Raw genomic sequence first — 25,680 nt, 5'->3', positions numbered from 1 at the left:
ACTCACATCATAATTTATTTCTAACTGAAAAGGGCATACATTTTCTTCCACGATGATCTGGCAATAAGGTTTATTGCCCTGATGTATAAGGTCAGTTTGACACAGAGGGGAAAAAAAAAGGCCTACACCTTTTAGCACAAGAGATTGTGGAAAGAAGATGGAAGACAGAGATAGGAAAGGAAGGCAGATGTCATAGTCTTTTATTATTATTTTCTTCCTCTTACCTCATCTCAGGCCAATCTTGTGGAAGTAGATGGCGTGGGAAGCAGAGACCCACAGTTAGGTATGGAAAAGCTCAAAAGCAGAAAGGTTTTTACTCTGCCTCCTGTTTATGCCTCTGGGAAGAGGCTGCTTATGGGATTACATTAATCCAATGTGACTGGTATCCTTATAAGTACATAGTCATGTGAAAACAGAGATACACTGAGAGAATGCCACCCCTTATGTAGGAGTGGCTACAGTAATGGAATCTTAATGGCTCGTCATGTTTAGACAGAGGGAAAGCCAGAATTCAGCTCTCCTGAGAGCCCTCAGTCTCTGATGGTGGGGATGGGATTGAGAAATTGGACTGCAAATTTCCCACATGCTTCAAAAGGAAAACAAAAAAGTTAGTTGAGAATTGACCAAGCAGAGAGAGAATGGATTACAAGTATGCCAGTATCACCTTTTGGCAGTGGACATGATTAGAACAAGGATAGAATGAGTTGTATACTTCAGCTATCACTCCTAAAAGCAACTTAAAATACCCATTCCTCAGCAGAGACCAGCAAAAAACAGAGACCCATGGTCAGGTAAGTCATTACTCTCCTTCATGCACCTCAATGAAATCTTAAATAAAAGATAGGTGGGCCTAGTTTGAATTTTGTCCCCCAAAAAACGTAATGTTGTAGTCCTAGCCCCTAGTACCTTGGAATGTGATGTTATTTGGAAAATAAGTTTGTTGCAGACATGATTAGTTAAGATGAGGTCATACTGGAGTACAGTGGGCACCTAATCTAATGTAACTGGTGTCCTTAAAAGCATGCGGTCGGCCAGGCACGGTGGCTCACACCTATAATCCCAGCACTTTGGGAGGCCAAGGCGGGCAGATCACGAGGTCAAGAGATGGAGACCATCCTGGCCAACATGGTGAAACCCCATCTCTACTAAAAATACAAAAATTAGCTGGGTGTGGTGGCGCACACCTGTAATCCCAGCTATTTGGGAGGCTGAGGCAGGAGAATTGCTTGAACCTGGGAGGCGGAGGTTGCGGTGAGCCGAGATCGCACCACAGCACTGTAGCCTGGCGACAAAGCGAGACTCCATCTCAAAATAAATAAATAAATAAATAAAGCATGTGATCACATGATGACAGAGACACACTGGGAAAATGTCAATGTCATTCATGCCAATGTCATGACAAAGGCAGAGATGACAGTTATGCAGCTGCAAGCTGAGGACCAGCGAAGATTGCTAGCAAACCACGAGATCCTAGGAAGAAGCAAGGAAGGATTCACTACAAGTTTCAGATGGAGCAAGACCCTGCCAACACCTTAATTTTAGACTTCTAGCCTCCAGAACTGTGAGACAATAAATGTCTGTTTGAAGCTACCCTGTTTGGAGCATGTTGTTACCACAACCTTCTTGAAAGCTAATACAATAGGCATAGAGAAGAAATTTCAAAAAACTGAGCATTTTATTTGAGTCCTCTAAACAGAGGACTCTTTATGTAAAGAGACTATTTCAACACAAGATTAAAATATAGCTATTTTTTTCTTCCAGTATCTAACAGGGGAAAGCTTGTGAAGAAGATCAGATAATTATTGAAAAATTAAGAATCTACATTCTCTTTGCACATCCGACTGTAGTTTGAGTGTGTTTGTAATCTCATGGTATGTGATCATTAAAATTCTCAGAAATTTACCTCATAAATTAATTTTAAAAACATGGCCAGCACAGTAAACATTCCTGAATGGCAGCAAATGATTAGTGTTATAACAATGAATGTTTTTTTCCTCAGTTTTTCCAATGTGTTTATTTAAACAACTTTTTATGTTTTAATTCCTTTAAGTGTGTTGCCAGAAATGCTGGCATTGCACAGGGTGTTGACACAGATGTTTGAGAACCTTTGTTCATTATTCCCTCCTTCAGACACATTGTCAACAAGACTCAGGCATTAAATACACATGAGGGTTGGGCATTACAGATAAGAACTCAAAAAGACAAAGTCTCTCTCCTCAGGAAATAGGTAAATCATAGACGATAGAAAAGTGTGTTAATTACATGGCAGAATATTGTTTTTTAATAACTTCCCCAAAATGAAGTAAAACACAAAGGAGAGAAGAGACACAGTGAGCCCCTGTATAGTGACTGTACATGGAGCCACAGGGAACCAGAAAGATGCCCTCCCTAGCAAGGCATGGCACCAGCAGAGGCCTAAAGGGGCCATATGGATTAAGGGTAGACTACTTTCTGAGGGATGCCATAAGAAAATACCACAAACTAGGTGGCTTAAAACAACAGAAACTTACTCTCTCACAGTTCTGGAGGCCAGACGTCCAAAATCAAGGTGTGGGCAGGCCATTCACCGTCAAAAGCCCATAGGAAAGGATCTGCTCCAAGCCTCTCTCTCTAGCTCCCAGTGCTTGCTGGCAAACCTCAGCATCCTTGGGCTTGCAGATGCATCCCTCCAGTCTCTGCCTCCATCTTCACACGGCCTTCTTCCTTGTTTCTCCTTTGTCTTCAAATCTCTTTCTCATAAAGACATGATTCACTGGATTTGGGGCACATCCTAATCCAGTACGACTTCATCTTAACTTGACTACAACTGCAAAGGCCCTATCTCCAGATCAGATCACATTCGCAGGTACCAGGGATTAAGACTTTAACATATCTTTTTGGGGGACACAATTCAATCTAGAACATGGGGTGATGGATGTTTAACATACATTGCCTTTGAGAGACAACATCAAGGATTAAATGCTGCCCCCCAACCTCCAACCCCTCCAAACCCTTCCCACTGCCCAAGCCTCAGCACCATGCAGGGCCTATATATTTAGTCTTACCATGTGTAGTGCACTCTGATATTTTCTATTTCATTGTTGTTTTTTAATGCTGATCATGACTCCCTGCATTGATTTCATAACCCACTCATGGGTCACAATTTAGAAAGTACATAGGAAAACACTTACTGAGGGGATGATGATGCTGTCACAAGAGAATCAAATGCAGGAGGAGAAGTTTCTTGGAAGGAGGATAGATGAAGGATTAGGTTTTAGACCTGTTATTTTTGATATGCTGGGACTAAAGCTTATATAGGCTGCTTTTGTTCAGATCATACAGTTGCCTAAAGATCAAGGTGCCTGCAGTTTTCCCATTGCTAATAAAGACATACCCAAGACACACTGGGTAATTTGTAAAGGAAAGAGGTTGAATTGACTCACATTTCCACATGGCTGTAGGAGGCCTCACAGTCATGGCGGAATGTGAATGAGAAGCAAAGTCACGTCTTACATGGCAGCAAGCAAGAGAGCATGTGCAGGGGAACTCCCATATATAAAACCATCAGATCTCATGAGACTTATTTACCATCATGCGAACAGCATGGGAAAGATCCACCACCATGATTCAATTACCTTCCACCAGGTCCCTCCCATGACACATGGGAATTATAGGAGCTACAATTCAAGGTATGATTTGGGTAGGGACATAGCCAAACCATATCAGTGCCCTTTTGCCCCTAGAGCTGGTCTTCCTGAGATCTACCTGATAAGAGACATGCTGGACCTACAAGAGGCAGCACCACACTTCTCACCTCCATGTCCAGGCACTGCTTTGCTCTGCGACCCTGTTGCCCAGCAAGAGGAGGAAGTAATTTTCCCTGACCCTGTACATATTTCAGTAAATATGTGGCAAGAAATGAAGTTCATAAATGTTTGATGAACAAGCTTTAAAATAAATTAACCCAAAGAAGGATAAGCACCCTCTTATTCTGAATTTTTGAAATTGTAAGTGCACATTGCTGACAGACATGAATGTTGGAGGTATAATTTTAAACTTAATAGTAAATTTTTACTATGTGGATGATGCTTGTGGCCAAAGACTCAAGTATACACATCAGTTACCACTGGAATATATATATTATGTATATTTCTATACATAATAGTAGTTTTATAAATGGTTGCTAAATGCAAAGCGATATTCACTGAATATTCTGCAGCTCACTTTTGCCTACACACACTCATACATACCCACACATACATTTTTCCCTCCCTTTAAACATATTTGTCTCTACCTCTCTCATTCTCCCATGCTCTGGTCCCCTGATGCCCTCACATGCAAACCTCTATGAAATCTTGCACTCTGAAAGATACCTGTTTTACCACCAACCACCACCATCTATCTCAGAGTATAATTTATGAAGATAGCTACAATTTTATCATCATGGTTTAGACCAACAGATGGTTTCTATCTCCATTTCAGTTGGGTATCATGTGTCCTGGTGGTAATTTTTATGTACTGATTTTCTTCTGCCGTCATTGCCACAAGACCTTGATGTTCCCTCCACACTCACCTTATGAACCATTGTCCCTAGGAAATCTCATTTAAATCTCAACCACCATCTAGGCCTGAATGAGCCATGTTCAGCCCATATCTCTTTTCTGAGTTTCAGAACTATTTCTGAACCCATCTATTAGTTATCTCTGTGTGAAGCACTTCCATTTCAACATTTCCAAATAAAATTCATTTTTCATGTCCCTCCCCCAACCTGTTACATCTCTTGTATTTTTTATCTTAGTTAATGGTAGGGTCAGGGGAGTCCTTTAAATTAAAAGAGAGATGGAAAGTCAGAATAACCACTGTTCCAGAACTCTATTGCCTTGACAGATGTACTTTGCCCTCATACAAGAAGGGGAGATTTAGGACTTTCTATCCAGAGAGTTGGTCTTATCAGTAACAGACCATGGGAATCACCCCACAAAAGCACCCCACCATGCTTATGGAAATATCCTGTGGACCGTCAAATTCAGCTTGATCCCTCTTTTTCTCTTTCATTTTTCTCCTTAGTCTATGAATTCCAGCAGGCCAATAGAGTCAACTGAAAGCCTATCTAAAATGTGAATAAAAGTAAGATTTCCCTGAAGACTTCGACTCCCTTTAGACCAAAGATGAGACTCTCAAAAACAAAACCAAAAAAAAAAGCAAATATTTTATCAACCCAGCAAAAATCCAGAACTGGAATCCCAGTGTATTCATCTTAAAAAGCAAGTGCCCATTTTAAGCATCTGTGTTCTCTATAAAACCCCTTCTAGTCAGGCACTCAAGGAAAGCTTTTGTGTGAATGTCACAGTCTGGTTAGATAAGGTGCATCTAGCCTGTTAATTGGTCTCTAGGATTTATTCATCTATCTCTTATCACTAAACTTACTGCTCCTCAGGAAACACAGAAAAACTCTCAAAAGTTGGTGAGTAGCTTCATCAGGACTTCAGCATTCTGTCGGAGCATAGAATACTTGACTGCTGGGCTAAACTGTACAGTACAAAACTCTGGCTTAAGAGTACAGGAGTATATCTTGTCTATTTGGCAAGGCAAGGAGGAATTCTTTTTTTTTTTTTTTTTTTTTTGAGACGGAGTCTTGCTCTGTTGCCCAGGCTGGAGTGCGGTGGCGCGAGCAAGGAGGAATTCTCTTTCCTCATTCAAAGGTGCCACCTTGCTCAAAGAGATAGAAAGTAATTTTTTAGTTATTGTCACTTAATCTGAAAACAATCAATTAATCTCAAATGTCCACTAATCATTGGAATAGGCAAAGAATGTGCCACACTGCATGGTTTAATTTCCTAAAATGTAAAATGCCTGATGCAGTGTTTGACACACAGCAGGTGCTCAATGTATGCTCTTGTCCTTTCACTCCTTTCCTCCCCTTCTTTCTCTGCCCCCTCCCTTTCATTCTCTGTCCATCTGTCTCTACGACCACCTCACATACATGAAAAAAAGACATAGAAAATAGGCAGAAAAGTATCCTATGGGCACAATTACTTTAGCTCAATAAGTAGAATGGGAAATCCTATTCCAGACATGAATGTGGCCGGGCGCGGTGGCTCACGCCTGTAATCCCAGCACTTTGGGAGGCCGGGCTGGGCGGATCACAAGGTTGGGAGATCAAGACCATCCTGGCTAACACGGTGAAACCCCGTCTCTACTAAAAATACAAAAAATTAGCCAGGCGTGGTGGCGGGAGCCTGTAGTCCCAGCTACTCGGGAGGCTGAGGCAGGAGAATGGCGTGAACCTGGGAGGCGGAGCTTGCAGTGAGCCGAGATCGGGCCACTACACTCCAGCCTGGGCAACGGAGAGAGACTCCGTCTAAAAAAAAAAAAAAGACATGAATGCTTTGATGTCTTCAGACTTTTTTTGAGAGGCATGGGAAGACTACAGGGAAAGAACTGGTTTTCTGGCCAAGTAGCCTTTTATTCATCCTGCAAGAGAAAATATTTCTGCATCTCATGTAGGTGCCACTCCCCAAATCTCAACACTCTAAAATCTGTTTTTCCTTCAATAAATGAGGTGTAACTAGCCTTGTCAGGTGAGAGGAATGATTAAATGCTAGACGAAGCCCCAGCAACCTTTGAAGTACAAGAAACTTTAATTTCACCTTTTTAGGCCTCCTTTTATAGTGCCCCTTTCCTGCTCCACTTGCCTAATCCTCGGGAGTCTGTCCTGCACACTTTGCTCTCCAGAAAAAGACAACCATCCTGTCTTCATTGTTCTTCACAACCACTGATGTTTGTTATCATGCCGCTGCCTGACATCACGTATAAAACTTTGGGTATCTCATCGGGACTACAGCTGGTATTGACCACTTTTAGGCTTCCCAACTCTGCAAAGCAAGAAGGGCAGTTTTTGTCTCTATTTAATGAATAGATAAAGTGAAGCTCAGGACTTGTTCAAGGTCATACAGCCATGAAGTGAAAAACGATGTAAGGCAGCCTTCCTGTTGGCCTTACTGAGATGATGGCACGCTAGGAGTTCTAATAGAAAGTGTCTCCATTGAACTATAAGGGAGTGAGACATAATTCCAAGATAAATGTTCCACTCTCTTAACCTGAGTTTTCCTGGCTGACCTATACAGCACCAACAGTGTGAGTTTTTAAAATTAAAAAATTGCTCCAAAAAATAGACTACTAGCCTATGATTTAAGTTGGGTTCCTGGACTTGTTTCACTAAAATGTCTTTCTCTGAGTCTCATGCCCAGGCTCTACTAGTTGAGGAAGTAAATGGAAGAGATAAATTCTGTGGCTTTTTCAAAATGAAGTAACTTACACATACCCTTCTCAATCTCTACATTCTAGATTTGGTAGTTGATACCTAGCCAACTCATAAATACTGGTGCATAAATGTCTTTAATATGTCAGATTTTAAATTATGCAAATAATGACTAGAAATTACTAGAAAGCAGATTGTTCTCATTTGCAACCTTGGAGCTAAGGGAACATGTATAACCTCTATCCATATATAAATTGATATTTCCCACACTGCTCCTGCTGATGATAGCAGGCTGTCACCAGACTGTCACCCACAGCATGTGGGTTAAAAAATGGAAAGAAAGAAGGAGAGAAGGGAGGGGAAAGGAAGGAAGGAAGGGAGGAAGAAAGAGAGGAAAGGAGGAAAGAAGGGAAAGGGAGGAAAACAGAAAGGGAGGGAGGAAAGAAATCTTCAGCCTTTATCTAAATACTCAGTATTGAATAAGTCATTTTGAGAACTAGACAGCAGAGTCAAATTGCCTTTTTGAGTCTTGAAGTAAATTATCAGCCTAGTACAGACCCAGGCTAAGACAGATATAGCATTTAACTTCACGGGTGGCTATAATTTCTGGATTTGTGAAAGAGTGATTCCTGCTTAGTACATTCCAAAAAGGACATGAAGTTTCTTAAGGCCCTGTATAAATCAATTCACAATCATACTGAGGTAGTTTGACTGTGACTCCAAAATGTCTTGAGTTTCATTTTCTCCCTGTTAGAGATGAAACCACTGACATTCATTTTTTACGGACATTTCCAGCTAAAGACTTTTTTTCATAAGTTAAAATCTGAAGAGCATGAAAGAGAAATTATTCTGATTTATGATGACTTCCAATCAGGACCAATTAAGAGAAAATGAACCAGGGAAATTGGAGTGAGGGAGGGAAATAAGATCCTGCATAGTGAAAGTGTTTAAACTGAACTTTTCTTTCCCTTACAATCCCCTGGGTAGAATCAAGCAAAGGCAGCTTCAGGATCAAGGGCCCCTGTGCCCCCCGGCCTCACCCACAACCACTCTTTCACCTCTAATCTTGCTCTAGGCACAAACAACTACCTGGGACTCGTCTATGCACCCACTGTCCTTTCATCAAGAGTCCTTCAGACATACAGAAACGCTTGTCCTTTATTACAATATTCAAATATAAATGTAAAGGGAAATCTAGTATTACAGTGGGCTTCGCTGATTTCCTGACTTCATTCCCAGCTAAACACCTTCTGGTTTCAAGCTGAAAATCCAAGGTCTCAGATTTCTCACATTTAAAAAATATTTGTGACAGAACTGTCCTTAGATCTGAACACAAGAGGCCTCTGTGCCGGGCCAGTGCTTTAGGGGGTCTGCATAGCACATGCGCATGTGCACACATACACAGGCAAACACACACACACACAGAGGCATTGAAGACTGCATTCATGCCTCTGTCCCTCAGGATCTAATGTTGGCACAACACTTATATTTCCAGAGATGCTCTTCATCTCTTGCCCCATGTCTCCCAGAAAAAGCATAACTTCATTCAGTTGCTGTACAAGTTTGTGGGTTGTGGCACTCCTAATGAATAAGCACTGCTTTAGAGTATGAGGAAGATTTCAGTAGCAGAGGCACTTAAGAGACAAGACAAATTAATTAACTTGTCATATCTTTCCTCTGAGGTAGCATGAACACAATAGATTATTGCATAATGAAGTATTGTTTCCCAGAAATGCTAAATGTTTTTCTTGATTTTCTTCGTGTTCCCATTCATGGTTCCAGAGCTACTCACAAATCAGTACAATATAAGAAATTATCACACATGGTGACTGAGGAGCATCTTACAATCTTCATATTACTCTTACCTTTGTGTATGTGTGTGTTCCTCAACCTCTAACCTATTTACATTTGTAAGTTATTTATTTTGTTTGTTGTGGATGCTATTCTGTGCTTTGTAAGATATTGACCAGTATCCCTGGCTTCTATCCACTAGATGCCAGTAACGTCTCCCCGCTCGCCATTCTTTCCCCAATGCTTGTGACAACCAAAAATATCTCTAGGTATTGCCAAATCTCTCCTAAGGGACAAAATTGCCACTGCCCCACTGGTTCAAAACCACTGGGCTAGATGTAACATACATGAAGCATGTTATCGTTTCTTTACACTGGCAACCTGATGCATACTGAACTCTAGAATTTCGAACAGTTTTCTTTATAAAAATATTTCATAACATTTAATTCGATTTTTTAAAAATAACTTTAAAATGTCAGTTATATAAATGTGATCTCTGTAAAATTTTAAATGTTATATTCATTTACTATAATTTGTATTTTACCTTTTAATTGTAATAGAATCTCTTGACTGGGGAGAAAATAACTTGTTGCAAGCATAGATAAAAGGAATCTTTAATCTTTTTACACACACTTTAATTTACCTTTTTGATAAACACATATTACAATTTTGTCCTTTGTATAGATTACTTTGTATTTTAAATCTCTTAAATTATTTGACAATAACAGAAATAGAAAATACCAACATGAGCTGGGCGTGGTGGCTCACTCCTGTAATCCCAGCACTTTGGGAGGCCAAGGCGGGCGGATCACGAGGTCAAGAGATCGAGACTAGCTTGACCAACATGGTGAAAACCCATCTCTACTAAAAATACAAAAAAAAATTAGCTGGGCATGGTGATGCGGGCCTGTAGTCCCAGCTACTTGGGAGGCTGAGGCAGGAGGATCTCTTGAACCCGGGAGGCAGAGGTTGCAGTGAACTGAGATCGCGCCAGTGCAGTTCAGCCTGGTGACACAGCAAGACTCCATTACACACACACACACACAAAATTACCAACATGAGTCTCAGAAAATCAAACAAAGAGCCTAAAAACATAAATAGAAAATCTTTTAAAAGCGGACTTTGAAAAACTGGGAACAATGAAAGTGAGTTGACATCCATCAAGCATGACCTACTATTTTAACCAGATCACCTTGGGTGAGGTATGGTGAGGCCAGGTATAGCTCAAGAGAGAGAAACCAGAAAGAGTTTTATAGTTTTGCTATCTGCACTATTCCCTGGGGAATCAAAAAATCATAGCCACTTGCTATGATTTTAATGTGTCCCTCACAAAATTCATGCTGACACTCATTCCCTATTGTGGTGGTATTAAGAGGTGGGGCCTCTCCGGAGTGATTAAGTCATGAGGATGCTGCCTTCATGAATGGGTAAGTGCCTTGTGAAAAGGCTGGAGGGATGCAGCTTAAGCCCCTTGTGCCCTTTCGCCTTCCTCCTTCCACCATGTGAGGGCGCAGCAACAAGGCACCATCTTGGAAGTTGAGAAAGCCAGCCCTCACCAGACAGTGCCTTGATCCTAGACTTCCCAGCCTCTAGAGCTGCCAGAAATACATTTCTGTTCTTTGTAAATTACCCGGTACCAGGCATTTTGTTATAACAGCCTAAATGGACTAAGACAACCGTGCTGGGGAAGCACTGGTGTGTGTCAGAGGAAGGAGACTGTAGGCAAACGCCTTCATTGTGGTTTCTGTGAGAAGGAAAGGACAAGGCCAGCAAGCAGGCTAAGGACTAGCTACTTTGAAAAAATTCAGCAGGCTGGGAAATAGGGGTAAACTCTGGTTGCCTAATATCCTGACCCTGGGACAATTAGAGCAGGTATAGTGGCCCACAGTGTGAGAGCCCAATCAAGCAGATGCTTGGGGTGCAGACTTAATGGAATGCTCAAGAAGGGGAACTGACCAGCCTCTCGTCAGTGACTCAAAACTAGATCAAGAAAGCATTTTAAAAAACTGTTTCACATGCACATGTATAACTCAGGAATAGGATTTTACAAATTATTTAATAAAGTTGTAATTACTGATTATAACAATTAAGTGGCCAAGAAAGTTTTTCTCAAAAGACAATAAGTGGAGCAGACCATGTACACTCCCAGCAACTTCATCCTCTCTACTTAGCGAAGATTTAATTAATTACCGACCAAAACAATGAAAGGGAAAGTTAGGCTCCCCCTGTACCTCTTCTTGACCTGATTTGGAAACTATTAGGTGTGGAACTGATTTAACTTGATTTAAAAAGGCCTTGAAATGCCTCACAGAAAAGTATATATACTAGGGAATAAATGATAGATGAGGAAATCACAATGAAGGGAAAATGAAGAGATAGAGAGAGATGCATCTCTGTTCTCCAGATAAATAACTATATAAAAGCTCATGTCTTTAGGGATACTATAAGATTTGTTGACATAAGCCACAAATGTGACTCCCTAGTGATCAAATCAAAGAGATAATCATTATTAGTTTCAAGAGTCACAAAATACCTATCAGAAAATAAACACATCTAGTTGTTCAGAAAAAAAAAAAAAAAATCTACCTTCTCTAGAAACTGGAAACCTGAGGAGAATCCATTCTAGATTCTTGGAGCTGAAAACCATCTGTGTAGTGGAAACCACAGCTCACATTTTAGCAGGAGGTTTTCTAGTCCCCATGTTAGCTAACAGATTCTTTTCACCTTAGGATTTCCCTTCATAGCAATGTACTGGAGCCAATGGTACAGTTGTTGTCACCCAAGCTTATTGTCTGTCAGCCTCACCAGACTTCCCAGGTGGGGAGCCAGGCCCGGGAAGGCAGGTGCACGAATGCAATCACTAACTAGCAGAAATACATCTCAACTGCCAACACTGCCTGCAGCACCGGGGAATTCCTCTTGCAATACATGCACCATACCTAACCCTCTCTATCTTCCCCACATTGTGGACACAGAAAATGGTCTCTATATCACTTCTGGATGCTAACAGGCATCTTATCACTGAACAAATGATATTATAGCCCAAAATTAGAAAGGGAGAAATCCTGTTTATCCATTTCAAATCACATATTTGCACTCAATAAAATTAAATGCTTCTATTATCCCAACAGCAATGATCACAAAATAGCAAATTCCGTGGGGGAGGAGAGGTGTGTATTACACTTTCCAAGAAGAAACACATTCTTATAACCAATTAAACTCATTGCAGTTGAATAGTCTAACAATTCGCACCAACACATATTTCAAGTTACCACTTCAGAACAATTTGTTTACAATTATCAGGGTTACAAATGGCCTTCCAAATCAGCTCCTGGGGAGACCTGACAAAGTTTTCTGTCAAGTATATACTGGCTCAGCAGGGCAATTTCCAATCTGTCCCTAGAACTCTACAGGAAGTCAATTTCCAAGTTGCAACAAGTATCTGACCTATACATGCCTGTCATGTGATGTGTGAGCTGTCACTTCCACACTGCAACACCTACTCCACCTACTCTAAGGCTACTTACTGTAACTCTCGTTTCCCCCAGTTGTGAAATTTTTTTAAAGGCACTTATTGATCTCTGATAAATTGGTTAAAAAAATCCCCGCACCCCTCTGCAAAGCATACAAACAAAAAAGCCATCTATTTCTTCAGGCTTGACATTACACAGAATTTTTTTCAGAATGGCTACAATCCTCCCTTTATTTCCACTACGCCTAATTTTTTTGTTTGTTTGTTTCACAACCATTCATATTTGGTGAGTGCTTATTATTGCTGAGTACTGCCTTAAGTGCTTTGTTCCACATGTATTATGTCGTTTTATGACCAGGACAATCCTATGAAGTCATTCCACTGTACAGATAAGGAAACTGAAGCTTGAATGAGCTGAATAATTCATCCAAGGTAACCAAATAAGACAAAGACCCAGTGTTCAAACTCCAGTCTGTCTAAACACAGAACTGACATCTTTAATCATTAAGCACCTTAACAATTATGCTATTACTATTACTTTTATAGATGTATGATTTGATTTGCTGCTTTAATCAAATGTCTGTGTATGCATAAGTATCCACACATGTATACATACTGTATTCCAAGTACATCTTGAATTAAATAAACTTTTGAAGACCCACCAAGGAACTTTGCAAACCTGCTTGTTTTAATTTTTAAAATAAGGTGTATTGGATGTTTCATTTTAAGTTAATATAGACTCATTAGAGAAATTTGAGGATGTGAACAAAAGAAAAAAATCATCCAAATTCTCATGCTCAAAAACTAGTATTTTCTTAACCATAGATTATAATATTTTGGTTAGAAAACATTCTATGGGAATATATATTTTAAATTTTAAAGAACTGATTTTAAAATATTTTTGACATAAAGATTAGCAGACTTAGTAGTCACACAGACATTGGTTCAAATCCCAGCTCTAGCACTTCAAAAGCTATTTGACCTCCTGAGCCAGGGTTTCCTTCTATGTGAAATGAGAATGATAATTATTCCTACCCCACCTGGATGTTGTAAAAATTGAATGAGACAATATATAAGAGAATCTTGGCAAATACTTAGTGTTCAAAAGAAGATGGTGGCAGTGGACATGATATACATACATATTTTATCTCTCTGAATCCCTGCATTAAAGCAGACAAAGTAATCAGATAGCAAACCAAAACTCCATGGCTAACATTTACAATGAAATTAGAGGACTACATTTCTTTACAAACCTCAAATATCAGCCAGTGAGGACAAACCACCAACAGCTGCAAGACCAGAGTGGTATCAGTGTCTGTGCAGAGGAAGGCAGAGAGAATCAAAAACAAAGCACTGTGTGCCCATTTGGAAACAGCTACTGAAACTGGGAGGTTTATCCAATCCAACAATGGGCAGCAGTACAAGGGGGCTGGTGGTGGGAAATGGAGGAATCTTAGGAATCTAACACTTATGAGCCTTCCTCCAGGATGGAGCTCCCTTCCAGGAAAGGGCCTTGCACTGAGGTGAAACTGCTGGAATGGAATCAAAACTGAGCAAATTAGGCCCAATAGAGACAAAGGAAAGAAATGATCCAGACAAAAGTGGAGGAGGAAAACAGAACCAGGAAGTCTTGGAATACAACAGAAGAGGGAACTCTCCAAAGTTAGAAAAGCCAGTTAGAAGAGCCAGGCCTCTAAAATTTTAGAAAACTGATCTCACATAAAAATGAGCAGCAGAAAAGTATTGAAGTCAAGTCCTGTGCAAAGTTATTATAAGATAAAAGAGAATAAGGAGCAGAATAACATCACTATAGATAATAAAAGCACATCAGAAAGACAGGGACAGATCAAAACTGTAACCTATTTCAAAATGAGCTAAAAGACATTAAGAACATGATACAAGATGTAAAAGAACAGCATAAATCAGAATTAGAAAAACTCAGAAATCAGGTGACAGAACATAGGAAAGAATTATAAATAAATGAAAAAGTCATTTCACAAGTGAAGACTAAACTAGAAGGAACACAAAAGCAAATAAGAACTAAATATGCCTGAAGAGAATATTTGGTGAAAAGGAAAAAAAAAAAACAAAAATAAAAATAAAAAAGAAATAAAGAGATAAAAAGGATTAAAGATAAATTGACAAAGAGAAGATAGGAAAAGAAGGTTCAAATTACATAATATAGGAATCCCTGAGGAAGAAAATTGAAATAAGGAAGAGAAATAGTAATAAAAACAATTAATCAAAAATACTTTCCTGAAATTAAAAAAGAAAATTGAAACTATATATTGAAAAAGCACACCACAAATCTAAGAATATCAACTCAGAATGACCAACAACAAGGTATTCTAATAAAAATCATTGGATTTTAAAGCAAAAAAGTTTATTGAACATCCTAGAAAAAAAGGCAAGTGATTTATAAAGAAAAAATTAGGTTACCATCAGATGTTACAACAGCAGTACGTTATGACAGAAGAAAATAGAGTAGCCTAATTAATACACTCAATGTCTATAGGAAATATTTTTAAAGGACTTTTTCCCAGTAAAAGTGACTTTCAGATAGAAAGAACATAAACAAACTGTCATCAATATGCAGGAACTCAAGAAATATTATTCCCATGAGCCCTTACTGAGGAATACACTAGTAATGAGCTTCAGATAATCCAACTCACTAGAGAGACATAGACATAAGGACTGATGAGTAGGGCTAAATACAGTATGTAAAACATACAGTTACTATAGAACTAAGATCAAATGAGCTTTAATAAAAGGGGAAAGTATAGTATTAAAAGCTACATGTTTAGATAATATAGATATAGCACACCTATAACACTTAATGGGGAGAATGAGGAAAGTATATGCAAAAACAATTTAGTTATTTTCAGTAATTATATTGCCAGTGATCTATTAGTATTGTTTGGGTATGTAATATTAGAATTGGGTAAATGATTAATTATGCAATGTTCTGATTCTATGATCCCCTGTGTCCTTGGGAACTAAGATTTTGGTATGCAAGAAAGGAAATACAGATGCAATGCAGAAGTTAAAAAAAAAAAAAACTGTGCTCTGGAATTTAAATTAAAACTATCAGTGTGAACTCATGGAATAACTTTGTCCACTGAAGATGCTTAGAAACAACAACCATCTCTAGCAAAGAGGTTGTGGCTTTAAAGTAACATTTCCCCCCAAAACAACAACCAACTGTTCTTGAAGAAGTGGCTATTTCCATGTCTACGGTAAGAAATGTACGAGTTGCACCTGGAAAACCTTGTCATGCCAAATAGCAAAACAAAATTATCAGTCATGTTAAAAGAACTTGATGGCATGGTGGCTAACGCGCGTAATCTCAGCACTTTGGGAAGGCAAAGCGGGTGGGTCAGTTGAGGTCAGGAGTTCAAGACCAGCCTGGCCAACATGGCGAAATGCCATCTCTATTAAATATACAAAAATTAGCCAGGCATGGTGGCAGGTGCCTATAATCCCAGCTTCTCGGGAGACTGAGGCAGGAGAATCGCTTGAACACGGGAGGCAGAGGTTGCAGTGAGCTGAGATTGCACCACTGCACTCCAGCCTGGGCAACAGAGCAAGACTCCATCTCAAAGATAAATAAATAAACAAACTAACAAATAAATAAATAAAATAACTCGAAAGCCAACCTGAAGAAGCTCCCACTAGCCAAATGCAGGACAATTTAAGCTTCAGTGAAGATATCTAAGTGGATCGAATGGGGATTGAAATTTCATCTTTCAGAAGGGATCAACACGACTCTGAATCCAGCTGCCAATTTGTAGAAATACAGAGGACAAAGAAAAGTGTTAAAAGGAAAAACACAGGCTATAAGAAATTTTGCAGATCAAATCCCTCAGGTTCTTCAGTGAATATCCCTCAGGTTCTTCAATAAATAATTTGTGAGGAAAAGAAAGGGATAGAGGGAGGATCTGCAGATTTAAAAATATTTAGAAGTCCTAAAATTTGAAAAATAGGCAAGACAAAATTATAGTGGCTAGGGATACACAATTTTGATGAAACTATAAAGAACTGCCAAAAAATGCTTATTATAGAATTAGGATAGTGGTTACTTTGAAGTGAAAGAGAAGTGCTGAAACTGGAACGGGCTCCTTGGGTAGCCAGAAAAGTTCTATTTCTAAAGATGGGTAATTATTTCAACAAATGCCTCGCTCATTAATCTACACAGTTCCGTGTTATTTTTCTGTAACTATGTTTCATTTTACATAAATAGTAAACAAATACATGCTAAATAAATATTAGCTACACTTAAAATCAAACTGAAAATATTTTGTAATATTCTAACATAATAAGAAGTAGCTAAATGCTAGAAAACAGAGCTTCAAAATTAAGACATTCTAAGAAAATCTCTCTGATTCTCTGATTACCACTTTACATTTTTTGGAATACATGGGTGCCTAGCACTGAGCTTGAACCAAGGCCCAAACCCAGTTCTCCCTGGGATGTTTTAGCTTTTAGAAGAGCTCCCTCTTCTTTATTTAGAAATAATAAGTGACATAGAACATCGCTGGTCAGACTCCCCAGCACGCCAACTCTGGGACAGAGAGCTGCACGCATGAAGCTTATTGGGGAGTGCTCATGGGACCATCTGTGAGGAAGTGAAGGAAGACGGCTTACGCCAGTGAAAGAATGCAATTGCGATGCAGACAGACCTCAGACAGTCCCATGAAAGTCCTGGAGCTGGAATAAGTATTCAGAGTTGTCCCACCTTGAGGCAAGGAGCATGGGACTTTATTACACACAATTTGTTTGGGGCCCCAACAACCAGTCATAGATGAGGGCTGCTCTAGGGAAAGGAGTGTGAGCTACTTTGGGCCAAGTAGATCTCTTCCTTTGAGGGTAATTCCCAGACAGTCATTCAGGTCCATGCTGTCAACCACCTATTTCCCAGGTGTTTGGAATGAGTGCCTCCATCCTGAAGGAAGATCTAGACAGTGACCCACTACCAAGAGCAATTCAACCATTTTGCTTCTCTTCAGTCAATCTATGTGTCAAGCATACTTTGTCTCTAGAAGCTTGCATTTCACTTTGCTCTACCTTTTGAGCCTATGTTCTGAAGAAGAGTTTTGCTTCAAACTTTCAAAGAAATCTAGAAATTTGGCCTTTAAAATATTTTCTATGCATATCAAAATTCAATTTATGTGAAAAGCTGCAACACATTACTATTATCACAACATTGTTACTGATTCAATCAACACTTATTGAATGCAAAGCCTTAGGAACCCAGTGGTGAACAGAGTCCCCTTTTGACTAAAGTTTACTGTCTCCTGCTTATTCACTCCATGTTGTTCAATGCTGCATAATGATGACATTCTCATATGTTCTGAGTAATCCTTCATTCACTTCCATTCTGGGGATAAATGTTACAGATGATATTTATGCCATTCTTAAAAAATCAGTAACATTTCAAGATTTTTCTGTGACATTTCTTCTCTGTGCTAAATGGTTTCTTTAACTTGATATCTACTTGAGATTGCATCAGAAGAATGAGGCAGGGGCTTTAGATAGCAATTCAAGATGGACTTCCTGATGTCTTTGTAACAATCGGGTTTCATACTCTTGAGACAGTTGAAAAAAAAAATCATACTTCCTGTGTTTGCAATCATTCCACATCATTCACTTTTTTGCATAAATACATAGAACATGTGTTGGGATTTAATTCTCCAGGGGTGTTTTACATTTCTGCATGTTAAGACATAATGCTTGGACTGTGGAACATACTTCTCACTTTATAATGTTGATTATTATTGTTATTTTTATCATTCTTTAGCTTTTTTCTCATCATTGATTTACATGCTGGTGTCCTCCACACTATTAGGAACTGCTTCCGAGTAGGGGACCACATTTTATCCACCTTTTTGCCTCCAGGCATAGTGCAGTCCCTTGAACATGGAAGAGACTCAATAAGTGTGTTAAAATAAATTGAACTCGAGTACATCGAACTGTGCTGTGATTTACGCGTAATATTAAAACTTTGCCCTAGCAAATGTTAAAGCTGTTGTTTTGCATTTCTACAGAAGTTCAATAGAACTCTTGGAATTCAAAGTTCCAAATATAAATTTCACTGGCTTTAAATAATTGTTTAATAATAAAATCCAGTATTAAGTAAAATAAGATTTTCTTGTATAAATTGTTTCTACCTTTCGTAAAAGCAATCTGGCAATATTTATCAATTTTTTAATCTACTTGTATACAAGTTCATATGTAAGAACACATCCTAAATAAATAATCTTAAATATAAACAAATACGTAGCCAAAATGATGTTGAGTTTTTACTTTTATTTCTTTAATCCTTCCTGCAAACCTGGATAGTACAAGTTATCTTTACTCACTGCACTTCTGTAATTTAGGGAATATATTCTATATAGAAAAGGGGCTTCCAGTGTCCCTCAATTTTCCAAACTCAAAAAGAAACAAAACAAAACAAAATTTGAACCTTTAGCAAAAAGTTTGGCTACTTATTTAGGTTATTTATGGCTACTAATTGTTATCAGTACACAGAGATTTTAGGAATAGGTGTAGATTCTTGACAACTGTATAAATGAACACGTAAAGATGTAATTTTGACACGTGTTTTAACTTCACATCCTGATTTGGCCTTTGTGCCTGTTGGAAGACAACATTTGTTCTCTTTGATAAGCAGTAGAAATTTTATCAGATTTTGTAAAAATTAATGAAGTACAAGAAGTCAGAAACAAATGTTCTCTGATACCACTTTGCTAGAGCAAGATGACAGGAAAGCTGCAGGTTAAGGGCTCCCTAGGGAGTTTCTGAGCACTCATGAGGGAGAGTTGGAAGATCTGGAGACGGAGTGCACGAGCTGGGAATCCCCTCTTGGTGGACTATGGGTGTGCCCATAGTCCATAGGTAATTTCTTCTCTCTTCCAGCTGCCATCTAATTATAGAGTAGGGGATCCGCAAAGAGTCTCCTATGAGCTCTTGAAACAATTCTCCTTCCCCTGCTGGCCTATCTCGGTGAGTGCAAACAGGGCCGCCCCCAAACATCCTTGAACTTGAGGCAGGTTAAACTATGTAGCAGCTTCAGTTTCCCCCATCAGCACCACAAATACTTAACTCCAGGCCCAGTCTGTAGCAAAGACCATAGTTGCCACCTGTCTTAGTCTGTATTGCTATAAAGGAATACCCAAGGCTGGGTAATTTATAAAGAAAAGAGGTTTACTTGACTTACAATTCTGCAAGCTAAACCACAGCACCAGCATCTGCTTCTAATAAGGGCTTCAGGCTGTTTCCACTCATAGCAGAAGATAAAGGGGAGCCAGTGTGTGAGAGATCACATGACAAGAGAGGAAAGCAAGGGCAGGGGAGGTGCCAGATTCTTTTTAACAACCCACTGTCCCGGGAACAAACAGCAAGAGCTCACTTACTACCACGTGAACGGCACCAAGCCGTTCGTGAGGGATCCGCCTCCTGAGCCAAACACCTCCCACTAGACCCCATCTCCAACACTGGAGATCAAATTTCAACATGAGATTTGGAGGGGACAAATACTCAAACCATAAGCACTCCCTTCTTCACCCAGGACCTAGAGGCAAGGCCTGACCACTATGAAAGTAAGGATGGTATTAATGCATGGCTTTGAAGTCATTAGCTATATTCAGAATAAGAGGACTATGGAAGAAGACCATCCTTAGTCTCATTTAATAATAGTAAATTGATCCAAATTCAAAAATAGCTTCCTGTTGCAGAGAAGTAAAATTCTTGTAAAGGATTTATTTCAAAGCAGTGCTAATTAATCCCTGGAGCTAGACAAGGGTGTCGTTTCACGCTGTTCCTGAGAAAAAGCCTCTCTCAGGGCACCAGCATTTCCCTCCCAGCCTCTCAGGCTCCAGGGGGCCGGCACAGCTGCACTCTGGCCACCACCCCTGGGCAGAACCTGCAGAAGCTTCCTTTCTGTTCCTCTCAAGTAGCTTAGCAGACACTCCCAAAATGGATAAAAATGTAAGCAGACACAGGATAGGATGTAGGGAGAAGAGCTCAGGAATTCCAGAACTTTACGAAACTGAAAAATTGTATGGGCTCTGAATAAAGTGCATATATATATATACACACACATATATATACATAAAGTACATACATATATATATATATATATATATATATATATATATATATGCGCATAACTTCAATTCTCCTTTCTCTTTATCTCATGGGATGAGGGGAAGAGGTTCCATAGTTACCAAAGGAACAAAATTTCAGAATCATAGCCTTGGGGCAAGTGTCCAAATTTCCCTGGTGTTTCACAATATTGAAGTAGAGAGGCCACTTGTAGCTGTAGAGGTATTAAACTGGGCCAGCCACAGTAGCTCACGCCTGTAATCCCAGCACTGTCTCTGATTTGACCAGGAATTTGAGACCAGCCTAGGCAACATACTGAGACCTCGTCTTTATATTTTTTTAAAAAAATTAATCAATGTATTAGTCCGTTTACACACTGCTGATAAAGACATACCTGAGACGGGGAAGAAAAAGAGGTTTAATTGGACTTACAGTTCCACATGGCTGGGAGGTCTCAGAATCATGGCGGGAGGCAAAAGCAACTTCTTATATGGCAGTGTCAAGAGAAAAATGGGGAAGAAACAAAAGTGGAAACCCCTGATAAACTCATCAGATCTCGTGAGACTTATTCACTATCACGAGAATAGCATGAGAAAGACAGGCGAGAGAATTGCCTCCCCTTGGGTCCCTCCTACAACACGTGGAAATTCTGGGAGATACAATTCAAGTTGAGATTTGTATGGGGACACAGCCAAACCATATCAATCAACAAATAATTTTTTTAAATAAAAGATAAAGAAATATTAAACTGCACTTTGGCCAAGTCCTCTTTAGGGGAGGAGAAAGACGAATCCATCAGCATCACTATTTGGGAAAAAAGAGAATATGATGGAGCCTTAGGAAGACAAAACATCAATTTATGCAACCATTATCATTTACAAATTAGGAAAAGAGGAAGTAGCCATGGAGTGATATTTTGAAAGCTGAATAAATGCCAAGATGAGGAAGAGCATTTGGGAACAGAGAATTGCATGAGGGAAAGAGGAGCAGGGCAAGTGAGCCAGCAGAGTTCGGGAAAGCTGTAGCATGGATATCAATTAATGAAGATAGCTGAGAATACGTCTGGAGAGACAAGCAGGGGTCATACCAAAGTCTCAACTTGATGTCTTGGGCAGTGGGGACTCAGGCCATCAACTCAACTGTGTTCTGAGATGTAACTAGTAGTTACAGGACACTAAAGGTAGAGAAACATAATGTACTGCAGTCAAGCTAAAGACAGCCATATCCCTGGAAGGGAGGATGTGGAAACCCACCTCTTCACTGCCCTAGGCCAAGCCTTGTGCCTAGAGGCTCCAGTCCCACTGCTGACATTTATTCACTGTGTGAGCAAGTTAGCTAATCTCTCTGGAATTCCTTTTTTAATTCCTTTATGGTGGTGGATATTTATACCTGTTTTGCAGGGTTGCTGTAACAATTAAGTGAGTTAATAATATAGGTAAAATCGTATATAATATAATATAATATAATATAATATAATATAATATAATATCTGGCATGTAAATACTCAGTGAATGCGATTTTATTTTATCTTCTCCTTTATTCCTTATTTTTATGTGACCATAACCCTACTGTAATGAATTTCTATCCCTTTCACCTGTTCAAGTCTAACTTGATTTGTTTATTCGCTTATTCATTAGTCTATTCATTCAGTGATGGTTATTAAGTGCTTGTCATGTACCAGGAAATACGGTAGGGGTTGAAGATGAATATGGCAGTGCCTACTCTATTGGAAAAGGGAAATAAATAACTACACAAAGGCAATGTAAAAACTATATGAAATCTCTCTTCACCGCTCCAGTTGTAAGTGATCAATCATCTGTCTGATTTTTTATGCCACTTTCATCACTTATGGCAAAATTACCTTGAAATGTAGTTAACTTTTCAAGTGACTGTGACTCTTTTCCCCAACCAGATGTAAGTTCCGTAAGGAAGGGCACTATAGCTCATCATTGGTGTAATTTCCTCGGTGCCCTGATCATGAGAATTCCATAAATACATGTTAGCGATTGTGATAAGATGAAGAGGCAGGACCTTATTCACTCACACAGTTATGCAGACGAATTCCTCTCATTAACATGCTAACATTTTGCTCCCCATTTTGTGACTTACCGTGGTATCAATGTCAAAGAAAACAAGGCAAGCATTATAAGTTAACGTCCATAAGACTAATGTGTCCTTGTCCATTCTCTGCAAATAATCATATTCCTAAACTTCAACACTTCTAAGGTCTTCATTCTCATCCCTACCCCACTTATAGTCTGTGGATGGGTGACCTAGCTTTTTCTTTCACATAAAAAGTAAAATGTACTGAATGAACATTCCTCAGATTTTTCGTCTCCTGTCCCTCACCTACACACCCATTTATATCCCCATCTACATTTCTTCTTCCCCATCCTGTCTTCATTCTTGCTTAGCATTAGGCACATCAACTCTCCTCTGAATTTGATTTTTTCTCAAATTCAGATGAAACTTAATTCTTCACTTACTTTTCCCTGTTGCAAGCCCAATATATTTTTTAAGCCTTTATCTGATGGCTACTTCCTTGGAGCAAATAAGCATGTTCAAGTGTCTCCAATTAATTAAAAAGTAAGAAAGACGATGGAGGAGGGGAAGGAAGATGAAGATAAAAACCATTCTTTGACTGATTCCCCTCCACTACCTTATCTCTTCTCTCTATTCATAGCCAACCTTAGTTTGGGTGTAGGTGCATTTTTAATGACTTTCCTCAAATTACAAAATGACTACAGTCCCAATCAGAAGTCTTAGAAAACATATTTCACAAACATTTTTTATGTCTGTATATTTTCTTCAACATAATTTTAAGGGTTGTATATTTTTTTCATGACTGAATCCTAAATTGCTTAACCAATGCCTTACAGTTGCACATCAAAGTTTCCAGTTTTTTCTTATAAACAATTCTATGATGAGTTATCTGTAGATGTACTTCTTTTTACATATCTGTGATAATTTACTTAGTAACAAAATGCAATTTCTTGGCCAGAGACCACATTTTGGAGGAGTTTAATGTATTCACAGCTAACCTGCCTTGAAAGAGTTCACTTAATATCTATCCTTCTTCTCCCGATGTTCTCTCTTCAGCCCACTGAGGTTACATGGCAGTGGCAAGAGAAAAATGAGGAAGAAGCAAAGTGGAAACCCCTGAAAAACTCTTCAGATCTCGTGAGACTTATTCACTATTGTGAGAATAGCATGGAAAAGACTGGGGAAAGAATTTCCTCCCCCTGGATACCTTCCACAACACGTGACATCGCTAAATCTCTTTGAATTGCCCTCCAAGTGTCCAATTTTTAGAGTGGACTCACTAATCCCTAAAGCATTTGGAACTCACTAACCAAAAAGCATTTGGCACCAGTGACAATCCTTTCCCATCGCCATGAAATGTTCTCCCCTCTTGTTTTCTGTCACATCACTGACCTTTGTTTTCTTTCTTGACTTTCTGTGCCTCCACCTCCCAAGTCAGTCTTTTCCATATTCATTGTGCCACCCATTAAAGTTGTTATACTGTGCTTGACCTTCTTTACAGTGTATTTGATCTTCCTGGGCAATCCCATCAACCAAAATATTAAACTACCACCTAGAAACAGATAATTCCAAAATCTCAACTTTCAGTCTAGAAATTTGTCTCCTTAGCTGGACATTGTCTTCAAACTCAGTATTTCTAAAACGGAACTCGTTATTTTCCACCCAAATTTTTCCTTTGCCTGCATTTTATATTTCAGTTATGATGGCTCTATGATAGTACCTAGTTGTCTCCACTTCTGGTTATTTATCAAGGTCTACTCCTGTTCTCCTAGAGTTCTCCTTTCCTCTAAATGTGAATGAACTGTGATACATCCATTATACAGCACATTATATTTTGAACAATGATCAGCCTTCCATATTTTTCTGTAACCTATTGTTCTTTGCTCTCTATGTCATGTCCACACTGGGAACTAGGTCTGTGTCCACAGCAGACAGGACAATAATTATTTTGGTTACAAGGAGAGATATAAATTAATAACTTGCTTGTTTATATTAAATAAATGTTTGTTGAATTGAATGAATGAATGATGGTATTTTGCTCCTTGGCAAAATTCTTAAGTAGGAGATATCTTTGGTGCTTGCCTTCCTTTTCCTCATCCCTTCTATTATTTCTCCCTCTCCCAAGGCACTCAAGCCTTTCATGTTGACCAGTCTCTCTTGTGAAACAGGAAAAGTGACTTGATACAAACCGTCCTTGTGAAATCCGTGATAACTCTCTCTGGAATATTTGCATGTTGAGAAGACAATGGGATAGCAAAATTTAACAAAAGCAGATGAATGGCAAGGGGAGGACAATTTGGGATGTACCAGAGGATGTTTGCAGCCATCTCATGTTGTCTGTGTGTAGCAGAGACAGAATTCTTAAATGATATAGCAGTAATTAAAATTATTTTAATTTGAAAAGACATATAAGAGTAGATTCCAGTATCTCTCATCCACTATACAGAAACCATGGTCTTAGCTCACCCTCTTGGTTGCCAGCTCAGTGACATGGGCCATGTTGCAGAAGTCAGTGGAGAGGAAGCCCCTGTAAGGGACAATAACAAAGTTACATTCCCATGGTCTAAAACAGTCCTCGCAGTACATACTTTTGCTATGTCGATAAGCCACATATCTCAATATCTCATTCTAGAAACTATTGTGTCCTTTATTCAATAGTTTAAAGCAGGAGGGAAAAAAATCTTCAAACATGCTAATTCTACACACAGTTCTTGCACTAAGTCATTAAAATCCCTCTTCAAAGCTCTGCAGGTACTTAAGTGGATTTAAAGAAAAGTGCAGGACAGTTCGTGTTTCAAGAATTATATAATACTCAGTCGGCTTAGCCCATGTTTTTTCTTTTCAAACTCACAGTGGCCCCCAGCTTTATGTGGAGAATAATGTGCTCACAGTAATGCTGATAGGCACAGCAGTCTCCTATTTCAGGCCACAAGATTCCTCATTACACCCAGCTAATATAATGTTCTGTGTTGACACACTGGGCTCTCCCCAAACATCACTACATTGAATGTTGTTTCATAGGTGAAAAGAG

General features: G+C 39.2%; 1 long non-coding RNA gene across 1 annotated transcript in view; it reads right to left on the bottom strand.

The window, feature by feature from the left end:
* The window catches only part of LOC101928362 (uncharacterized), a 169,017-nt gene extending 143,840 nt beyond the window's left edge, over positions 1-25,177 (bottom strand). Inside the window, exon 1 of the long non-coding RNA XR_001749028.1 lies at positions 25,116-25,177. This is a non-coding gene — a long non-coding RNA (uncharacterized LOC101928362). The remainder of the gene's footprint in view (positions 1-25,115) is intronic.
* Between the last annotated feature and the right edge of the window lie 503 nt (positions 25,178-25,680).

Source organism: Homo sapiens, chromosome 12 (assembly GCF_000001405.40).
Source record: "Homo sapiens chromosome 12, GRCh38.p14 Primary Assembly".
NCBI lineage: Eukaryota > Metazoa > Chordata > Mammalia > Primates > Hominidae > Homo > Homo sapiens.
Note: the sequence above shows the minus strand (reverse complement) of the source record. Positions and strands in the feature narration are given on the sequence as shown.